Source organism: Homo sapiens, chromosome 5 (genome assembly GCF_000001405.40).
Source record: "Homo sapiens chromosome 5, GRCh38.p14 Primary Assembly".
NCBI lineage: Eukaryota > Metazoa > Chordata > Mammalia > Primates > Hominidae > Homo > Homo sapiens.
Window position 1 is genome coordinate 76,879,409 of NC_000005.10, and position 17,920 is coordinate 76,897,328.

The following is a 17,920-nucleotide window of genomic DNA, read 5'->3' on the forward strand; positions in this document are numbered from 1 at the left end:
TGTAAGGTTTAGGGTTTTGATCAAGCAAATGATGCCTTTTACTAAATGGGAAAGACTGAGGGAAGAATCACTTTGGTGTGAAGGCATGTGGGCAGATCAATAGCTCTGTTTAAGGTGGTATTGGACATCCAGGTGGAGATATCACATGGGAAGTTGGAAATATGATCTGGTCTGGATCTCAGGGTAAATGGGGGACTGGAGATAGAGTTGGGAGTCATTTGTGATCTTAAGCCACAGGATTAGAGGAGGTCACTCCGGATGAGAATGTGGATAGAGAAGAAGAAACGTCTGACAGTTTGCTGTAAAGAAAAGGAAGAGCCCATAAGTGATACAAAAGAGGCATGGCCAGGGAGAAAGAAGGAAAACCAGGAGAGTGTAGTGTCTCAGAAGCCTAGAGAAGACAGCACGTGGAGAAGGAAAGAGAGAAATCCATTCAGAGGTGAAGTAGGATGAGAACGAAGACTTGACCACTAGATTTGGGAAGGTGGAGGTTGTCTCACGCATCTGTGTGAAGAGACCCCCAGACAGGCTTTGTGTGAACAACATGGCTGTTTATTTCACCTGGGTGCAGGTGGGCTGAGTCCGAAAAGAGAGTCAGCAAAGGGTGGCGGATTATCATTAGTTCTTATAGGTTTTGGGATAGGTGGTGGAGTTAGGAGCAATGTTTTGCGGGCAGAGGGTGGATCTCACAAAGTACATTCTCAAGGATGGGGAGAATTGCAAAGAACTTTCTTAAGGGTGGGGGAGATTACAAAGTACATTGATCAGTTAGGGTGGGACAGAAACAAATTACAATGGTGGAATGTCATGAGTTAAGGCTATTTTCACTTCTTTTGTGGATCTTCAGTTACTTCAGGCCATCTGGATGTATATGTGCAGGTCACATGGGATATGATGGCTTAGCTTGGGCTCAGAGGCCTGACATTCCTGTCTTCTTATATTAATAAGAAAAATAAAACAAAATAGTGGTGAAGTGTTGGGGTGGCGAAAGTTTTTGGGGGTGGTATGGAGAGATAATGGGTGATGTTTCTCAGGGCTGCTTCGAGCAGGATTAGGGGTGACGTGGGAACCTAGAGTGGGTGAGATTAAGCTGAAGGAAGATTTTGTGGTAAGGGGTGATATTGTGGGGTTGTTAGAAGAAACATTTGTCGTATAGAATGATTGGTGATGGCCTGGATGCGGTTTTGTATGAATTGAGAAACTAAATGAAAGACACAAGGTCCAAATAAGAGAAGGAGAAAAACAGATATTAAAGGACTAAGAATTGGGAGTACCCAGGACATCCAATTACAGAGTGTCCAAGGGAGTTCAGCATAATTATTTGCTTGGTTGTTGAGTTTTTGGGTGCTATCCTTGAGTTTTTTTATGTTGTCATATACCAGGCCAGATTGATTTAGGTAAAAACAACACTCTTCATTTAAAAATATACAGAGTCCCCTTTTTTTCTTCATTTAAAAATATACAAGAGTACCCCTTTTTTAGTCAGGGCCTCGGGAATTTTGGAGGAAAGAGAAAAGCAAAGCCAGCAATTGTTTGTTAAAGAAGGATTAGAAATGGCTAGGAGAGAGTGACTGAGACTGATATAGTGTGGTGGAGATAGCTGGGGAGAGGTAGAGAGTGGCATAAAAATGGGGACAAGAATAAGAGCAAGTATAAAAGTAAAGAATAGGACTTCATCAGGGTGAAAGTATTGGAGTGTACTTTGTCACTGAAGAACTTCTATCCACTTAAAGAGAGACTTAAGGGTGGCAGTTTGAGGTAAAACCTGGAGCCACTAAATACCAAGAGCCTGAGAAACTGCTTGGGTGATTTGACTAATAAAGGCCGGTCTGTTATTGGACTGTATAGAAGTGGGAAGGCCAAACCAAGGAATTATGTTTGACAGAAGGGAAGAAATTACCACGGTGGCCTTCTCAGACCCTGTGGGAAAGGCCTCTACCCACCCAGTGAAAGTGTCTACCCAGACCAAGAGGTATTTTAGTTTCCTGATTTGAGGCATGTGAGTAAAGTCAATTTGCCAGTCCTGGGCGGGGGCAAATCCCCGAGCTTGATGTGTAGGGAAGGGAGGCAGCCTGAACAATCCCTGAGGAGTAGTAGTAGAATAGCAGATGGAACACTGAGAAGTGATTTCCTTAAGGACAGATTTCCATGATGGAAAGGAAATGAGAAGTTCTAAGAGGCGGGCTAGCTGCTTGTAACCTACATGGAAGAGGTTATGAAATGACGATAGACTAGAATGGGCTTGTGAGGCTGGAAGGAGATATTTTCCTTGGTCCAAGAACCATTTGCCTTGTGTGGGAAGAGATTGATAGGTGGAAGTTTCAGTGGGGGAATAGGTGAGAATGACCAGATGAGAAGGAGAAAAACTGCCATGAGGGTTAGAAGTTGGAACTCTAGCTGCTTTTTTAGCTACCTTGTCAGCATAAGCATTGCCCTGAGTGATGGCATCTTATGCCTTTTGATGGCCTTTGCAGTGAATGACTTCAGCTTCCTTTGGAAGTAAAGCGGCCTTGAGAAGAGTTTTTATTAAAGAGGCATTAATGATGGAGGACCCTTGCATAGTGAGGAAACCTCTTTCAGCCCTTATAACAGCATGGTGGTGCAGGATATGGAAGGCATATTTACAGTCAGTATAAATATTGACGCGTAGTCCCTTTGCAAGAGTGAGGGCTTGAGTTAAGACAATGAGTTTGGCTTGCTGAGAGGTAGTGGAGGGGGGCAGAAATTATATGCGTCAGGTGTGAGGAAGAAAATAGATTTTGGAAGTTATGAGAACTATAGAGAGTGAGTTGAGCACAGTTTGTGATTTTGAGGGCCTCTAAAAGTATTAAGGCAGCGGCAGCCACTGCACACAGACATGAAGGCTAGGCTAAAACAGTAAGGTCAAGTTGTTTGGATAAAAAGGCTACAGGGCGCAGTCCCAGCTCTTGTGTAAAAATTCCGACTGCACAGCCCTGCACTTTGGCTGTGTGTAATGAAAAAGGATTGGGATGAGTTAGGGAGAGCTAGTGTGGGGGCAGCTTCTAGGGCTGTTTTTAAGGAACGGAAAGGAGTGGCAAAAGGATTTAGGATCTGTGGGGTCAGCTAGGTTTCCTTTTGTGAGTTTATATAATGGTTTTGTTAGGATGGCAAAACCAGTATCCAAAGGCAAAAGTATCCAACCATGCCCAGGAAGGAAAGGAGTTGTTGTTTTGTAGAAGGCATTGGGGTTTGGGAGATTAGTCAGACGTGATCAGCAGGGAGAGCATGTGTATTTTCATGAAGAATTATGTCGAGATAGGTAATGGATGAGGAAGAAATTTGGGCTTGACTGAAGTAATGGGGGCTGTCCGTGAAGCCTTGTGGCAGTACAGCCCAGGTAATTTGTGAGTCTAATGGGTGTCAGGGTCAGTCCAAGTGAAAGCAAAGAGAGTCTAGGATGAAGGGTGCAAGGAATAGTAAAGAAAGCATGTTTGAGATCCAGAACAGAATAAGGGGTTATGGAGGGGTTGTGGAGGGTGGTATTGAGGATAGGAGAGTATATGGGTTTGGCACCATGGGGTGGATAGGCAAGACAATTTGGTTGATAAGGCGCAGATCCTGAACTAAGGTAAGGCTTGTCTTGTTTTAGGACAGGTAAAATGGGGGAATTGTAGGGAGAGTTTACAGGCTTTAAAAGGCCATGCTGTAACAGGCAAGTGATAACAGGCTTTAATCCTTTTAAAGCATGCTGTGGGATGGGATATTGGCATTGAGTGGGGTAAGGGTGATTAGGTTTTAATGGGATGGTAAGGGGTGCATCATTTGTCACCAAGGAGGGAGTAGAGGTATCCCATACTTGTGGGTTAAGGTAGGGGGATACGAGAGGAGGATGCAAAGGAGGCTTTGAACTGGGGAAAAGGGTGGCAATGAGGTGTGCTTGTAGCCTAGGAATAGTCAGGGAAGCAGATAATTTAGTTAAAATGTCTCGACCTAATAAGAGAGCTGGGCAGGTGGGGATAACTAAAATGAGTGCATAAAAGAATATTGTCCAAGTTGGCACCAGAGTTGGGGAGTTTTAAGAGGTTTAGAAGCCTGGCCGTCAATACCAACAACAGTTATGGAGGCAAGGGAAACAGGCCTTTGAAAAGAAGGTAATGTGGAGTTGGTAGCCTCCTTATTGATTAAGAAGGAGACGGACTTACCCTCCACTGTAAGAGTTACCCAAAGGGTCTGTGATGGTCCAGGGGGCTTCCGAGGTGATCAGGCAGCGTCAGTCTTTAGCCACTAAGCTGAGAATATCTGGGAATGAGTCAGTCAGAGAGCCTTGGGCCAGAGTTCCAGGGGCTCCGGGAGTGGCTGCCAGGTGAGTTGGACAGTCCGATTTCCACTGGGGTCCCGCACAGATGGGACATGGCTTAGGAGGAGTCCCAGGCTGCGGGCATTGCTTGGCCCAGTGGCCAGATTTCCAGCACTTGTAGCAAGCTCCTGGGGAAGGAGTTTCTGGAGGAACCCCTGGCAGTGGCGGTTCAGGTGTTTGGAGTTCTTGTGTGCTGGAGATGTGGCTGGGGTTTGTCTCACAGTGGAGGCAAGGAATTGCAACTCAGAAATACATTGCTACTTGGCTGCCTCTACTCTATTATTGTACACCTTGAAGCGAGGTTAATTAAGTCCTGTTGTGGGGTTCGAGGGCCGAATTTAATTTTTGGAGCTTTATTTAATGTTGGGAGCAAATTGGTTAATAAAATAAAATGCATATTGAGATTAAGACGGCCTTCTGGCCCCTCTGGGTCTAGGGCAGTAAAGTGTCTCAGGGTTGCTGCTAAGAGGGCCATGAACTGGGCTGGGCTTTCGTCTTTACCTCGGGTAGTTTCTTTAAGTTTGTCATAACAGCTTTGTAAGCTGCCTTTTTAAGCCCTTTAACTAGGCAGGAAACCATGTAATCTCGCCTAGCTATACCTGGGGAATCTGCCTGATAGTTCCATTGGGATCTTCTCGGGGAACTGCTCTAATGCCTTCCTGGAGGTCTGGCTCATGAAGCCAGTGGTTATCAGTGTGAGATTGGGCTGGAGAAAAAACTCTTTCCCATTCATCCGGGGAGAGGGTAGAAGTCAGGATGACATTTAAGTCACTCCAGGTTAAATTGTAGGACAGAGTTAGATATCGGAATTCCTGTATATATTTAGTGGGGTCTGATGAGAAAGAGCCTAAACGCTGGCTGATTTGGGAAAGGTCTGATAGAGGAAAAAGGAGCATTAACGTTGACTATGCCTTCAGCTCCAGCCACGTCTTTAAGAGGAAATAGTTGGGCAAGTGGGGGAGGACTAGTCACGGAACAAAACTGTAAACCAGACTGGGTGTGAGGAGGGGAGGTGATAGAAGGATTATAGGGTGCGGAAGCAGAGGCTGAGGAAGAATTGGGACCTGGCTTGGCCTGGCGAGGAGCAGCCTGGGGAGAAGGGGAGAGGTCAGATGAGTCCGTAGAAAAGAAGGATTCAAAGGACTCAAGAGCTTGGGGTGGAGACTGAAGGAACAGACAGGAGAGAAAGAAGAAAGATTTGGGACGAGTCTCACTGGGAGCAGAGACTAGGGAGGAACCAATGTGTAAAAGAATGCCTGGACGTCAGGCACCTCAGACCATTTGCCCATTTTTTGACAAAAATTGTCTAGATCTCATAGGATGGAGAAATCATAAGTGCCGTTTTCTGGCCATTTAGAACCATTGTCGAGCTTGTATTGGGGTCAAGCAGTATTGCAGAAGAAAATAAGGCGTTTAAGTTTTAGGTCAGGCGAGAGTTGAAGAGGTTTTAAGTTCTTGAGGACACAGGCTAAGGGAGAAGGAGGAATGGAGGGTAGAAGGTTGCCCATAGTGAAGGAGGCAAGTTTAAAGAGAAGGGTAGAGACATGGAGAGAAGGGGTAGGGGGTGCTTGCCCCCCAGGAAAGTGGAGAAGGGGTGGGAGGTGCTTGCCCCCCAGGAAAGTTGAAACGGGGTGGGAGGTGCTTATCTCCCAGGAAAGTGGGAATGAGGTGGGAGGTGCTTGCCCCCCAGGAAAGTGGGAACAGGGTGGGAGGTGCTTGTCCCCAGGAAAGTGGGAACGGGGTGGGAGGTGCTTGCCCCCCAGGAAAGTAGGAACGGGTTGGGAGGTGCTTGTCCCCCAGGAAAGTGGGAACGGGGTGGGAGGTGCTTGCCCCCCAGGAAAGTAGGAACGGGTTGGGAGGTGCTTGTCCCCCAGGAAAGTGGGAATGGGGTGGGAGGTGCTTGCCCCCCAGGAAAGTGGGAACGGGGTGGGAGGTGCTTGCCCCCCAGGAAAGTGGGAATGGGGTGGGAGGTGCTTGTCCCCCAGGAAAGTGGGAACGGGGTGGGAGGTGCTTGCCCCCCAGGAAAGTGGAGAAGGGATAGAGACACAGACAGAAGAGGTGGGGGCTGCTTGCCCCCCAGAAAAGTGGAGAGAAAAGACAGTAGAGGCACGGAGAGAAGGGGTGGGGGGTGCTTGTTCCCCAGAAAAGTGGAGAGAAAAGAGAGAGTAGAGGCATGGAGAGAAGGAGTGGGGGGTGCTTGCCTCCCAGGAAAGTGGAGAGAAAAGAGAGAGTAGAGAAATGGAGAGAAGGGGTGGGGGGTGCTTGTCCCCCAGAAAAGTGGAGAGAAAAGAGAGAGTAGAGACACGGAGAGAAGGGGTGGGGAGTGCTTGCCCCCCAGGAAAGTGGAGAAGGGGTGGAGACATGGAGAGAAGGTGTCAAGGGGTGCTTGCCCCCCAGAAAAGTGGTGCTTGCCGCTAAGGGTGAAGGACCAAGGCAGGTGTCCCCGTGAGGTCAGACACCTCTGAAACGTGGGTGAATAATCAGGCAGGCGACCTGCAATGATTAAACACTAAGGGAAGGCTGCCTTCCCGAGTCTGTGACCTGCGCCGGAGTTTTGGGTCCACGGATAAAATGTGTCTCCTTTGTCTCTACCAGAAAATGAAAGGAATTGAAATTATGAGAAGGGACAGATTGAAGGGTGGCACCAAGATTTAAAGGAGAAAGAGGTTGAGGGATAGTGAGAGAGATTGGAGAAGAGAGTAAAAAGAGGCCACTTACCCGATTTAAAATCGGTGAGATGTTCCTTGGGCTGGTTGGTCTGAGGACCCGAGGTCGTAGGTGGATCTCTTCATGGAGTGAGGGCAAGAACAGGGGACTGGTCTCCTGAAGGAGTCCCGCTGACCGGGGTCTTTGGCACCAAATGTCTCATATGTCCGTGTGAAGAGACCACCAAACAGGCTTTGTGTGAGCAACAAGGCTGTTTATATTACCTGGGTGCAGGTGGGCTGAGTCCAAAAAGAGAGTCAGCAAAGGGTGGTGGATTATCATTAGTTCTTATAGGTTTTGGGATAGGCGGTGGAGTTAGGAGCAATTTTTTGCAGGCAGGGGGTGGATCTCACGAAGTACATTCTCAAGGATAGGGAGAATTGCAAAGAACCTTCTTAAGGGTTGGGGCGATTACAAAGTACATTGATCAGTTAGGGTGGGGCAGAAACAAATTACAATGGTGGAATGTCATCAGTTAAGGCTATTTTCACTTCTTTTGTGGATCTTCAGTTGCTTCAGGCCATCTGGATGTATACGTGCAGGTCACAGGGGATATGATGGCTTAGCTTGGGCTCAGAGGCCTGAAAGAGATCATCTGCAACATCAGTAACACTGACAGGAGTTGGGTTTTGGTTACAAAAGAGCCTATCTTTCTTTCTTTTCTTTTCTTTTTTTTTTTTTTCGAGACAGAGTCTTGCTCTGTCACCAGGCTGGAGTGCAGTGGCGCAATCTCAGCTCACTGCAACCTCTGCCTCCATGGTTCAAGCGATTTTCGTGCCTGAGCCTCCTGAGTAGCTGGGATTACAGGCACCCACCATCATGCCCAGCTAATTTTTGTATTTTTAGTAGAGACAGGGTTTCACCATGTTGGGGCCAGAAAGGTCTCGATCTCCTGACCTTGTAATCTGCCTGCTTCAGCCTCCCAAAGTGCTGGGATTACAGTCATGAGCTACTGTGCCAGGCTTTTTTTTTTTTTTTTTTTTTCTGAGATGAGGTCTCGCTCTGTGCCCAGGCTGGAGGGCAGTGGCACTATCTTGGCTCACTGCAACCTCCACCTCCCAGGTTCAAGCAATTCTCATGCCTCAGCCTCCCGAGTAGCTGGGATCACAGGCACACCACCACGCCTGGCTAACTTTTGTCTTTTTAGTAGAGACGGGGTCTCACCATGTTGGCCAGGCCAGTCTTGAACTCCTGAACACAAGTGATCCACCTGCCTCGGCCTCCCAGAGTGCTGGGATTACAGGCACGAGCCACTGTGCCCAGCCCAGAAGAGCCTTTCAATCTGGCAGGTAGAAGTTGCTCAATAAATCTATGCTTAGGGAACAAATGAAGGAATCTGCCAATTGCTGACTTTCTAGTGCTAAGACCTGCCATTTTTTTCCCCCTTAAATAGAATATTTTTGTCTCCCTTAAGCCAGTTCTGAGCAGATAGGACAGGGAGAATTTAGAGGGCAGAACATTTAAGAGAAGAAATGTAGACCATTGGTGTTTACTCACTTCTGTCTTTCAAAAGTTATGTTGTAGGAGTTATTAAGAAATTATTGGCCAGGCACGGTGGCTCACATCTGTAATCCCAGCACTTTGAGAGGCTGAGGCGGGTGGATCATGAGGTCAGGAGTTCAAGACCAGCCTGGTTAATATGGTGAAACCCCATCTCTACTAAAAAATACAAAAATTAGCTAGGCATGGTAGTGTGTGCCTGTAGTCCCAGCTACTCAGGAGGCTGAGGCAGGAGAATCGCTGGAACCCAGGAGGCAGAGGTTGCAGTGAGCCAAGATTATGCCACTGCCCTCCAGCCTGGGTGACAGAGCAAGACTCCATCTCAAAAAAAAGAAAAAAAAAAGGAAAGAAAGAAATTATTTTAGGCAGATAGAGAGGAAAAGGGGTCCTTGGGAAGTTTTCTTTTTTTTTTTTTTTCCTGGGAAAGTGCTGGTATTTTTTTTTTTTTTTTTTTTTTTTTTGAGACAGAGTCTTGCTCTGTCACCTAGGCTGGAGTGCAGTGGCGTGACCTCGGCTCACTGCAAGCTCTGCCTCCCGGGTTCACGCCATTCTCCTGTCTCAGCCTCCCAAGTATCTGGGACTACAGGCACTCGCCACCATGCCCTGCTAATTTTTTTGTATTTTTGGTAGAGACGAGGTTTCACCGTGTTAGCCAGGATGGTCTCGACCTCCTGACCTTGTGATCCGCCCATCTCGGCCTCCCAAAGTGCTGGGATTACAGGCGTGAGCCACCGCGCCCAGCCATAGTGCTGGGATTACAGGCGTGAGCCACCGTGTCTGACGGAAGTTTTCATTTTTTAAAGCATCTCTGGAAAAGTTTCTTGTAAAGCCCCGGCTCTTAGAGCCAGGCCAGCAACCTCTGATATGCAAATGAAGGCCATTAGAAACTGGGTCCACCCAACATGGCCAGGCTGGCAACCTTTAATATGAAAATGCCAGCTGTTAGAAACTTGGTCCACCAAACATGGTGATTCTCCCGCCTTTTTGCCCTTGCCCCACATGTGACTGGCTACACGGCCACCCCCACATGTCCCCATGTGTGTAGAACATTAAGGTGCCCTACATTTGCATATTAAGAGCCTAGGGTGGGAGGGCCAGCGTTTTTGGGGCTACCTGAGTGACATGCCTGGTCAAACCAAGCCCCTGAGCCCTATGCAAATCAAGCACCGCCTCCTCTAGCCATCGCATGTAACTGGCTGATATTACCTGAGCAGGACTTCCCTCTCTCGGCTTTGGAGCCCCCTTCCCTCTGTCTCTGTACAGGCGAGCTTCCTTCTCCCTTCTTTCTTGCCCCTTCTTGCCTATTAAACTCTCTGCTCCTTAAAACCACTTCACGTATGTCTGTGTTGTTTTATCTAATTCAACGTAAGACAAGAGCCCTGGTGTTCGTCCGCTCATTGAAGCCGTATCATTTAGAAGAAAAAATTTTTTAAAAATTGAACACATATGTTGGATGTGTTTAAGTTTGTTTTTTACAAGTTAATATACTACTCATGCAAGAGAAGATCTCGACATTTCGCAGGGGCCTTTAAGCTTTTCATTTTAATTTACTGCAAAGTTTACATATTCTAAAGTGAGTCACTAAAACATGAAAAGTAAATCCAGAATTTTCTTCACCTTCTAGTCCAGGATAGACATTATTAACACAGAGAAATAAATGGAAAAACAATGTTAATTTCATGGCATTTCTAAAAATCGATTAAAAGTGGGGAAAAGCAATCTCTGTTTCAAATTAGATTTCAAATAAGTAAGAATTACATGATGTACCAAAAGCTCTTTTCCAGTAAAGGAGAGGCTTTCTTTTCCTCATGTTAGGAACACACAATTTTGTAGAAGGCAAAATTGGTTGTTTCTTATGCCCGGGGGCACTGGCCTTTGCATTTGCTGGAGTTTAAATAAATTTGAAGTTTAAAATTCAAGGACCATCTCTGAATGAGCAGCTAATGTTTAACATTTTCTCATTGTGGTTATTAGATAGAGCAGCTTATGGAGACAAAAGCCTAGGCTTGCTTGAGACCCTGGGTTTGAGATGTGACTGACAATGCCAATAGTGAGAAAGCTTAAACAAAACAAAACCTTAAAATTTAATTTAATTTTGTTTTGTTTTTCTAGATGGAGTCTCGCTCTGTCACCCAGGCTGGAGTGCAGTGGCACAATCTCGGCTCACTGCAACCTCTGCCTCCCAGGTTCAGGTTATTCTCCTGTCTCAGCCTCCTGAGTAGCTGGGACTACAGGTGCATACAACCATGCCTGGCTAATTTTTATATTTTTAGTAGAGATGGGGTTTCACCATGTTGGCCAGGCTGGTCTTGAACTCCTGACCTCAGGGAGTCCACCCACCTTGGCCTCCCAAAATGCTGGGATTACAGGTGTGAGCCACTATGCCCAGCCTAAAATTTAATTTTGAAAATATATATTTCTTTTTCCCCCAAAGATAGTGGAAACAAGGAAGGCTTCCCAGAGGCAGAGGCTTGAGTCAAGTCTTTGATAAGGCAAAGAAATGGAGGAAGATTATTAAAAAAGAGAATATGATTTCATACCCAAATCACACGGGTATGAAACAACAGGATCTGCTGATGTGGTGACGTGCACCTAAAGTCCCAGCTGCCTGGAAGTCTGAGGCTGGATGATTGCTTGAGCCCAGGGGTTTGAGGCTGCAGTAATCTATGATTGTGCCACCACACTAGCCTGGGTGACAGAGTAAGACCCGGTCTCAAAAACAAACAAACAAACAAAAACAGGATTTGTTTGGGAGAATGCAAGTTCTGTTTGTGGCATCCCTAGGGTGTGGGGTGTCCAAGGGCATGAGATGGAGCTAGAGAGGTGAACAGGATTCAGAATCAGAAAAGGCCTTGGGTGCTAATGTGAGAAATTTGAAATTTATCCTCCATATTATGGGAAGCCATTATAGGATTTTTCAGTTTCTTCTTTTATTTATTTACTTTTTTGAGACAGAGTCTTGCTCTGTTACCCAGGCTGGAGTGCAATGGCACAGTCTCGGCTCACTGCAACCTTCGCCTCTGGGTTCAAGCAATTCTCCTGCTTCAGCCTCTTGAGTAGCTGGGATTACAGGCATGCACCACCACGCCTGGCTAATTTTTGTATTTTTAGTAGAGATGGGGCTTTACCATGTTGGCAAGGCTAGTCTTGAACTCCTGACCTTAGGTGATCTGCCCGCCTTGGGCTCCCAAAAGTGCTGGGATTACAGGCGTGAGCCACCATGCCCGGCCCCCAGTTTCTTCCTTTAAATTAAAGCAGTTGTGTTTATGTTTCTAAATATCCTCCTAAAAATTTTACATCTTAAAAGCAGTAGGTTTGAGTCCTTACTTTACGTTACACTTACCTGTGGTATTTTTTAAAATATAGATGAATAAACTCCACCTCATTCAGATTCCAATTCAATTAGTCTAGGGATGGGGCCCAGGCATCAGCATTTTTTAAAGGGCATCAGGGGATTCTAAATTCAACCAGGGTTGAAAATTATTGCTTTTATGGTGAATTGCTTCAACCAAATAATCAGATCAACATCTGACTGAGAACTGTCTAGGACGGCAGCTGCTTCAACTTTGATGTGCATGTGAATCACCTGGAAATCTGACTCAGCTTCAGTAAGTCGGGGTGGAGCCTGAGATTCTGCATTCCTAACAAACTCCCAGGTGTTGCTGATGGTGCCAATAGAGATGGTCTAGACTCTAGGATGAAGAGGAAGGGGTTTGAATGGAAGTATGGAGGAGTCGTTTGGAAACACTGGCACCTGTAGAGTAATTCTTGCTGGGGCATACTTTCTTTGGAAAAAATCAGACAACACAAGAACAGTAGATAGACAGAGGGTGCAGGGGAAGAGGAGAGAGGTGGGAGACACCAAGGAAGAACATGCATTAGGGGCCTGGGAGAGGGAGGAGGGGGAGGGAAAGGATGTCACCAGACCATCTCAGAGTAAAGGTCTTGGGCAACTTATTTAATTTCTTTAAGCCTCATTTTCTAGCATGTCTCAAATACAGTGGCTCACCTGCATCAGAGCCAACTAAGGGTACTTATCAAACATTAGGATTTGCAGTTTTTCCAACCTAGTCCGAATGATTCAGAATGAAGGAGGAGGAAGGGTAAGAACCTGCACTTACAGCAAGCACACCAGGTTATTATTATGTACCTTCAATGTGGAGAACTGGAACTCTGATTGTTAAAATAAGATAGCAAGCACCCAGAACACATGAAGTGCTCAATAGGTGGTAACCATGGTGATGATGATGGTAATGGTGATACAGTAAACATCTCTGGTCCAGCCCAGACTTGGCAGAACAAGAGTTTTATGCATCCTACTCTTTCAGATGAGATCGGTAGGATGGTATGGTTGTAGACCATCCTACTCTTTCAAATTGGTCCCTACCAAAGATGTCTGCCAGCTGCTTGCCACAGGAAAAGTGGGGGCACTTCCACATGATTATATTTCTCTTGACTTCTCCAGCTTTCTCAAAAGGTCCTTTTCAAGGGGAACTCATTAAACAATGTGTTCTCAAAGAACATTTATTATGATGGTGTAAAACCGAAGAAAATGAGGTGAGTCTCAACTACTTTAGAGGTTTATTTTGCCAAGATTGGGGGCATGCATAACAAAAAGCACAAAATCACAAGAACATCTGTGATCTGTGCTTTTTTCCAAAGAGGGTTTGGGGACTTCCATTTTTAAAGAGGAAAGAGTGGGCAGTCAGGGAAAGAAGAAAGAAAAAAAAAGGCAGGGGCAGGAGAATAAATAAAAGAGGCAAGCAGTTGCATTCTTTTGAGGCTTTGATCAGCGCTCATTGAATTCACATTTTATGTGCTAAAAGGGGGTAGAGGAATAGTCAACTGTGCATTCTTCTGTAGCTCTGTGAATCTGCATTTTACAGAAGATAAAGTAAACTTAGAGTAGAAGAAGCAATCAAGTATGCATTTGTCTCAGGTGAGTGGAGGGATGACTCTCCTCCTCTCTTTGTCCCTTACCTATGAAGAGACGTTGTTGATGTACATAGGGTGAAATTCAGCAGAACTCTGTTTTAGGGTAAAGATCTTGGGGCCCACAAGGAATTTCCAGGCCCTCCAGGAGACTTATCGTTGTAGCTCTCTATTTAGGAACAAAATGGGAGGCAGTTTTGTGCAATTCAGTTCCCAATCTTAATTTTTCCCTTTGGCACAGTGAGTTTGGGGTTTCAAGATTTCTTTTTCCTTTCACAATGGAAAGTGTCTACTATATAATATTAACTTTAAACAACAGAATGTTTGATTGGCCCAAATTTGGTGTAAAAATTGCGGCAGAATGAATTTTTAAGGTATTGCTTTGTTTCTACTTGCAGTTTTTAATTTTCTGCACCCCCATCAAGAAGAGAACAGGCTCCTTTTCAAAGGGAAGGTCTGTGATGGGGTAGAAAGCAAAAGTTCAGCCTGGCCAACATGGCAAAACCTCCACTCTACAAAAAATACAAAAATTAGCTGGTGTGGTGGCACATGTCTGTAGTCCCTGTTACTTGGGAGGCTGAGGTGGGAGGATTGATTGAACCTAGGAGGTCAAGGTTGCAGTGAGCTGTGATTGCATCACTGTACTCCACTCTGGGTGACAGAACAAGATCTTATCTCAAAAAAAAAAAAATTGCCAGAAAACCACTTCACTTTCTAGCTTTTGTTTTCAAAAGTCTAAACCATTGAGACAATTATGTTCGGTGCCTCCAGGGAAACTGTGGGAATTGCTCTTGAAGTAAATACTCCCCTCGCCCTGAGGAAAACACTTTCTTAGGGACTAAAAAGAGATTCCCTTGAGCACTAGGAGAAAGAGGTGTGTGGGTCCCCAGGGGCAGATGGGCATATGACCTTTCTGGAGAATCCTCTTCTAATAGCTAACCTTTTCTCAGCTTCTCCTTCATCAACTAAGGGTGCACCCTGGGTTTCTACTATCTCCTTTTGCAAATCTTGGATTGTGTTCTCTGATTTTCCTTTGGAATACAGAATCCATTATCTTGAGGCATTTAAACAAAAAATAAAGTTCTAAGCCCCTCTAATTATCTAAATGGACTTCCTCCTCACCCAGGGCTCTTAAAATTTAACCTGAAAGACTGGTTCAGGTCATGAAGGGAAGTGGGGGTCTGACGTGCCTCATTGTACCTCTTTGGCATTAATATCAACACAGACTTTAAGACTGGTAAGAAACATTTTACAACCTATTCTCTCTGAAGCCTGCTAGCTAAAAGCTTCATCTGCATAGTAAAACTTTGGTCTCTACCACCTCTTATTGCAACCTAGACATTCTTCTCTGTTGATCCCAGGTCTTCAGACAAACTCAACCAATTGTCAACCAGAAAATGTTAAAATTTACGGCTTTTCTGGACCAAACCAATGTATTTCTTAAATGTATTTGATTGATGTCTCATGCTTCCCTAAAATGTATAAAACCAAGCTGCACCACCTTGGGCACATGTTCTCAGGACCTCCTGAGGGCTGTGTCATGGGTCATGGTCACTCATATTTTGTTCAGAATAAATCTCTCCAAAACATGTTACAGAGTTTGACTTTTTTCATTGACAGACATCAGCCAAAATTTTAACATCCATATACGTACGCATGGAAGAAAGACTGGAAGACTGGAAACCCACCAAGGTGTTTACCACAGATGGTGACATTGTCGGTGATTTAAATTTTTTTTTTTTTTTTTTGAGATGGAGTTTCACTCTTGTTGCCCAGGCTGGAGTGCAATGACATGATCTCGGCTTACAGCAACCTCCACCTCCCGGGTTCAAGTGATTCTCCTGCCTCAGCCTCCCGAGTAGCTGGGATTACAGGCATGCACTACCATGCCCAGCTAATTTTGTTTTAGTGGAGACAGGGTTTCTCCATGTTGAGGCTGGTCTTGAACCCCTGACCTCAGGTGATCCACCCGCCTCGGCCTCCCAAAGTCCTGGGATTACAGGTGTGAGCCACCGCGCCCACCCTAAATTTTTTCTTTATATTTTAAATTTTGATGTTTCAACAATGAACAATAATCAGAAAAAAGCGCTATGTTGTTTATTTTTAGTAGAGAATTCCCTGAAGTCTAACTTTAAATGTCTCTCTTCCTCCCTTACAAACCCTATTCTTACAAACTGTAGTGTCTTTTTCTCTGAGACCACTTATTTAGCCATGCGTGGCCACTCCCCCTCTGCATTGTCAGTTATTTCTTAAAATGACCCTAGCACCTAGCATAGCACCAACAAATCAGAGAAGTCAAGCGCATGTTTTCTGAAATGAACCTGTCTTGAGAATGCCCAGGATTTTCTTTGTTAATATCATCACCGTTTTAAAACTTGTTTACGGTACAAGTATAGCACCAACCAAATAACAGAGCCATTTGCCCCTTCATGGAAAGAGAGCAACTTATAATATGCTAGTCCCTGGAGTTCCTCAGGAATAAGGAAATTATCTAAAGGAGGAGTTATTGCCAAACATCCCTATCAACAATTCCCAAATGATAGAAATTTGGTCATCAAATATTATCTAGTGCCATCAAAGAAACAATTGAAAGTTAAAGCCCAATGACAGTTTAAAAAAAAACCCCTGATGTCCAACTTACCCTGATGTCCAATGGCTTACCATTTTAATTTTTTAATTTTTAAATTATTTAAAATTTTTTGTGGGTATATAGTAGGTGTATATAGGGTATATGAAAGGTTTTAATACAGGCATGCAATGTGAAATAAGCACATCATAAAGAATAGGGTATCCTTTCCCCCAAACATTTATTCTTTGAGTTAAAAGCAATCCAATTACATTAAGTTATTTTAAAATATAGAGGGGTTTTTTTGCTTTCCCTTTCTTTCTTTCTTTTCTTCCTTTTTTTTTTTTTTTTTTTTTTGAGACAGAGTTTGGCACTGTTGTCCAGACTGGAGTGCAGTGGCATGCTCACTGCAATCTCCGCCTCCCAGGTTCAAGTGACTCTCCTGCCTCAGCCTCCTGAGTAGCTGGGATTACAGGCACCCACCACCACGCCTGGCTAATTTTTGTATTTTTAGTAGAGATGGGGTTTCACCATGTTGGCCAGGCTGCTCTTGAACTCCTGACCTCAAGTGATCCACTTGCCTCGGCCTCTTAAGGTGACGGATTACAGGTGCGAGCCACCAGACCCAACCATTATACAGTTATTTTATTATTGACTATAGTCACCCTGTTGTGCTGTCAAATAGCAGGTCTTATTCATTCCTTTTAACTGTTTTTTGTACCCATTAATCATCCCCACCGTCCTCCCCAACCCCCTGCTACCCTTCCCAGTCTCTAGTAACCATCATTCTACTCTCTATGTCCATGAGTTCAATTGTTTTGATTTTTAGATCCCATAAATAAGTGAGGACATGCGATGTTTGTCTTTCTGTGCATGGCTCATTTCATTTAACATAATGATCTTCAGTTCCATCTGTGTTGTTGCAAATGACTGGATCTCATTCTTTTTCATGGTTGAATAGTACTCCATTGTGTATATATACCACATTTTCTTTGTACATTCATCGGTTGATGGACATTTAGATTGCTTCCAAATCTGAGCTGTTGTAAACAGTGCTGCAACAAACAGTGCAGGTTTCTCTTTGATATATTGATTTCCTTTCTTTTGGGTATATACTCAGCAGTGGGATTCCAGTAGCTGGATCACATGGTAGCTCAATTTTTAGTTTTTTGAGAAACCTCCAAACTGTTCTCCACAGTAGTTGTATTAGTTTACATCCCCATCAATGCATACAAGGATTCACTTTTCTCCACATCCTTGCCAGCATTCATTTTACCTGTCTTTTGGATATAAGTAATTTTAACCCGGGGTGAGATAATATCTCATTGTAGCTTTGATATGCATTTCTCTGATCAGTGATGTTGAGCACCTTTTCATATACCTGTTTGTCATTTGTATGTCTTCTTTTGAGAAATGTCTATTTAAATCTTTTGCCTACTTTTTGGTTGGATTATTAGGTTTTTTTTCCTATAGTTATTTGAGCTCCTTAAATATTCTGATTATTAATCCCTTGTCAGATGGGGAGTTTGCACTGTAGGTGTGGGGATTTGTTTCCGGGTTCTCTATTTTGTTCCATTGGTCTGTGTGTCTGTTTTTATGCCAATGCCATGCTGTTTGGTTACTATAGCTCTGGTGTATAATTTGAAGTCAGGTAATGTGATTCCTCCAGTTTTGTTCTTTTTGCTTAGGATAGCTTTGGCTATTCTGGGTCTTTTGTGGGTTCATTTAAATTTTAGGATTGGCCGGGTGCGGTGGCTCATGCTTGTAATCCCAGCACTTTGGGAGGCTGAGGTGGGCGGATCATGAGGTCAGGAGATCGAGACCATGGTGAAACCCCATCTCTACTAAAAAAATACAAAAAATTAGCCAGGTGTGGTGGTGGGCGCCTGTAGTCGCAG

At 44.6% G+C, this 17,920-nt stretch overlaps 1 protein-coding gene across 8 annotated transcripts in view, besides 1 other annotated feature; it reads left to right on the forward strand.

Annotated features, from left to right (window-relative positions):
* The window catches only part of S100Z (S100 calcium binding protein Z), a 102,940-nt gene that overhangs the window by 29,395 nt on the left and 55,625 nt on the right, over positions 1 to 17,920 (forward strand). The window lies entirely within an intron of this gene.
* Positions 9,238 to 9,738: an enhancer, noted in NCBI's record as "H3K4me1 hESC enhancer chr5:76184471-76184971 (GRCh37/hg19 assembly coordinates)". NCBI's record gives its function as "activates a minimal SCP1, AML or CMV promoter by ChIP-STARR-seq in naive H9 embryonic stem cells {active_cell/tissue: H9 hESC(naive)}" and the evidence as "EXISTENCE:reporter gene assay evidence [ECO:0000049][PMID:30033119]".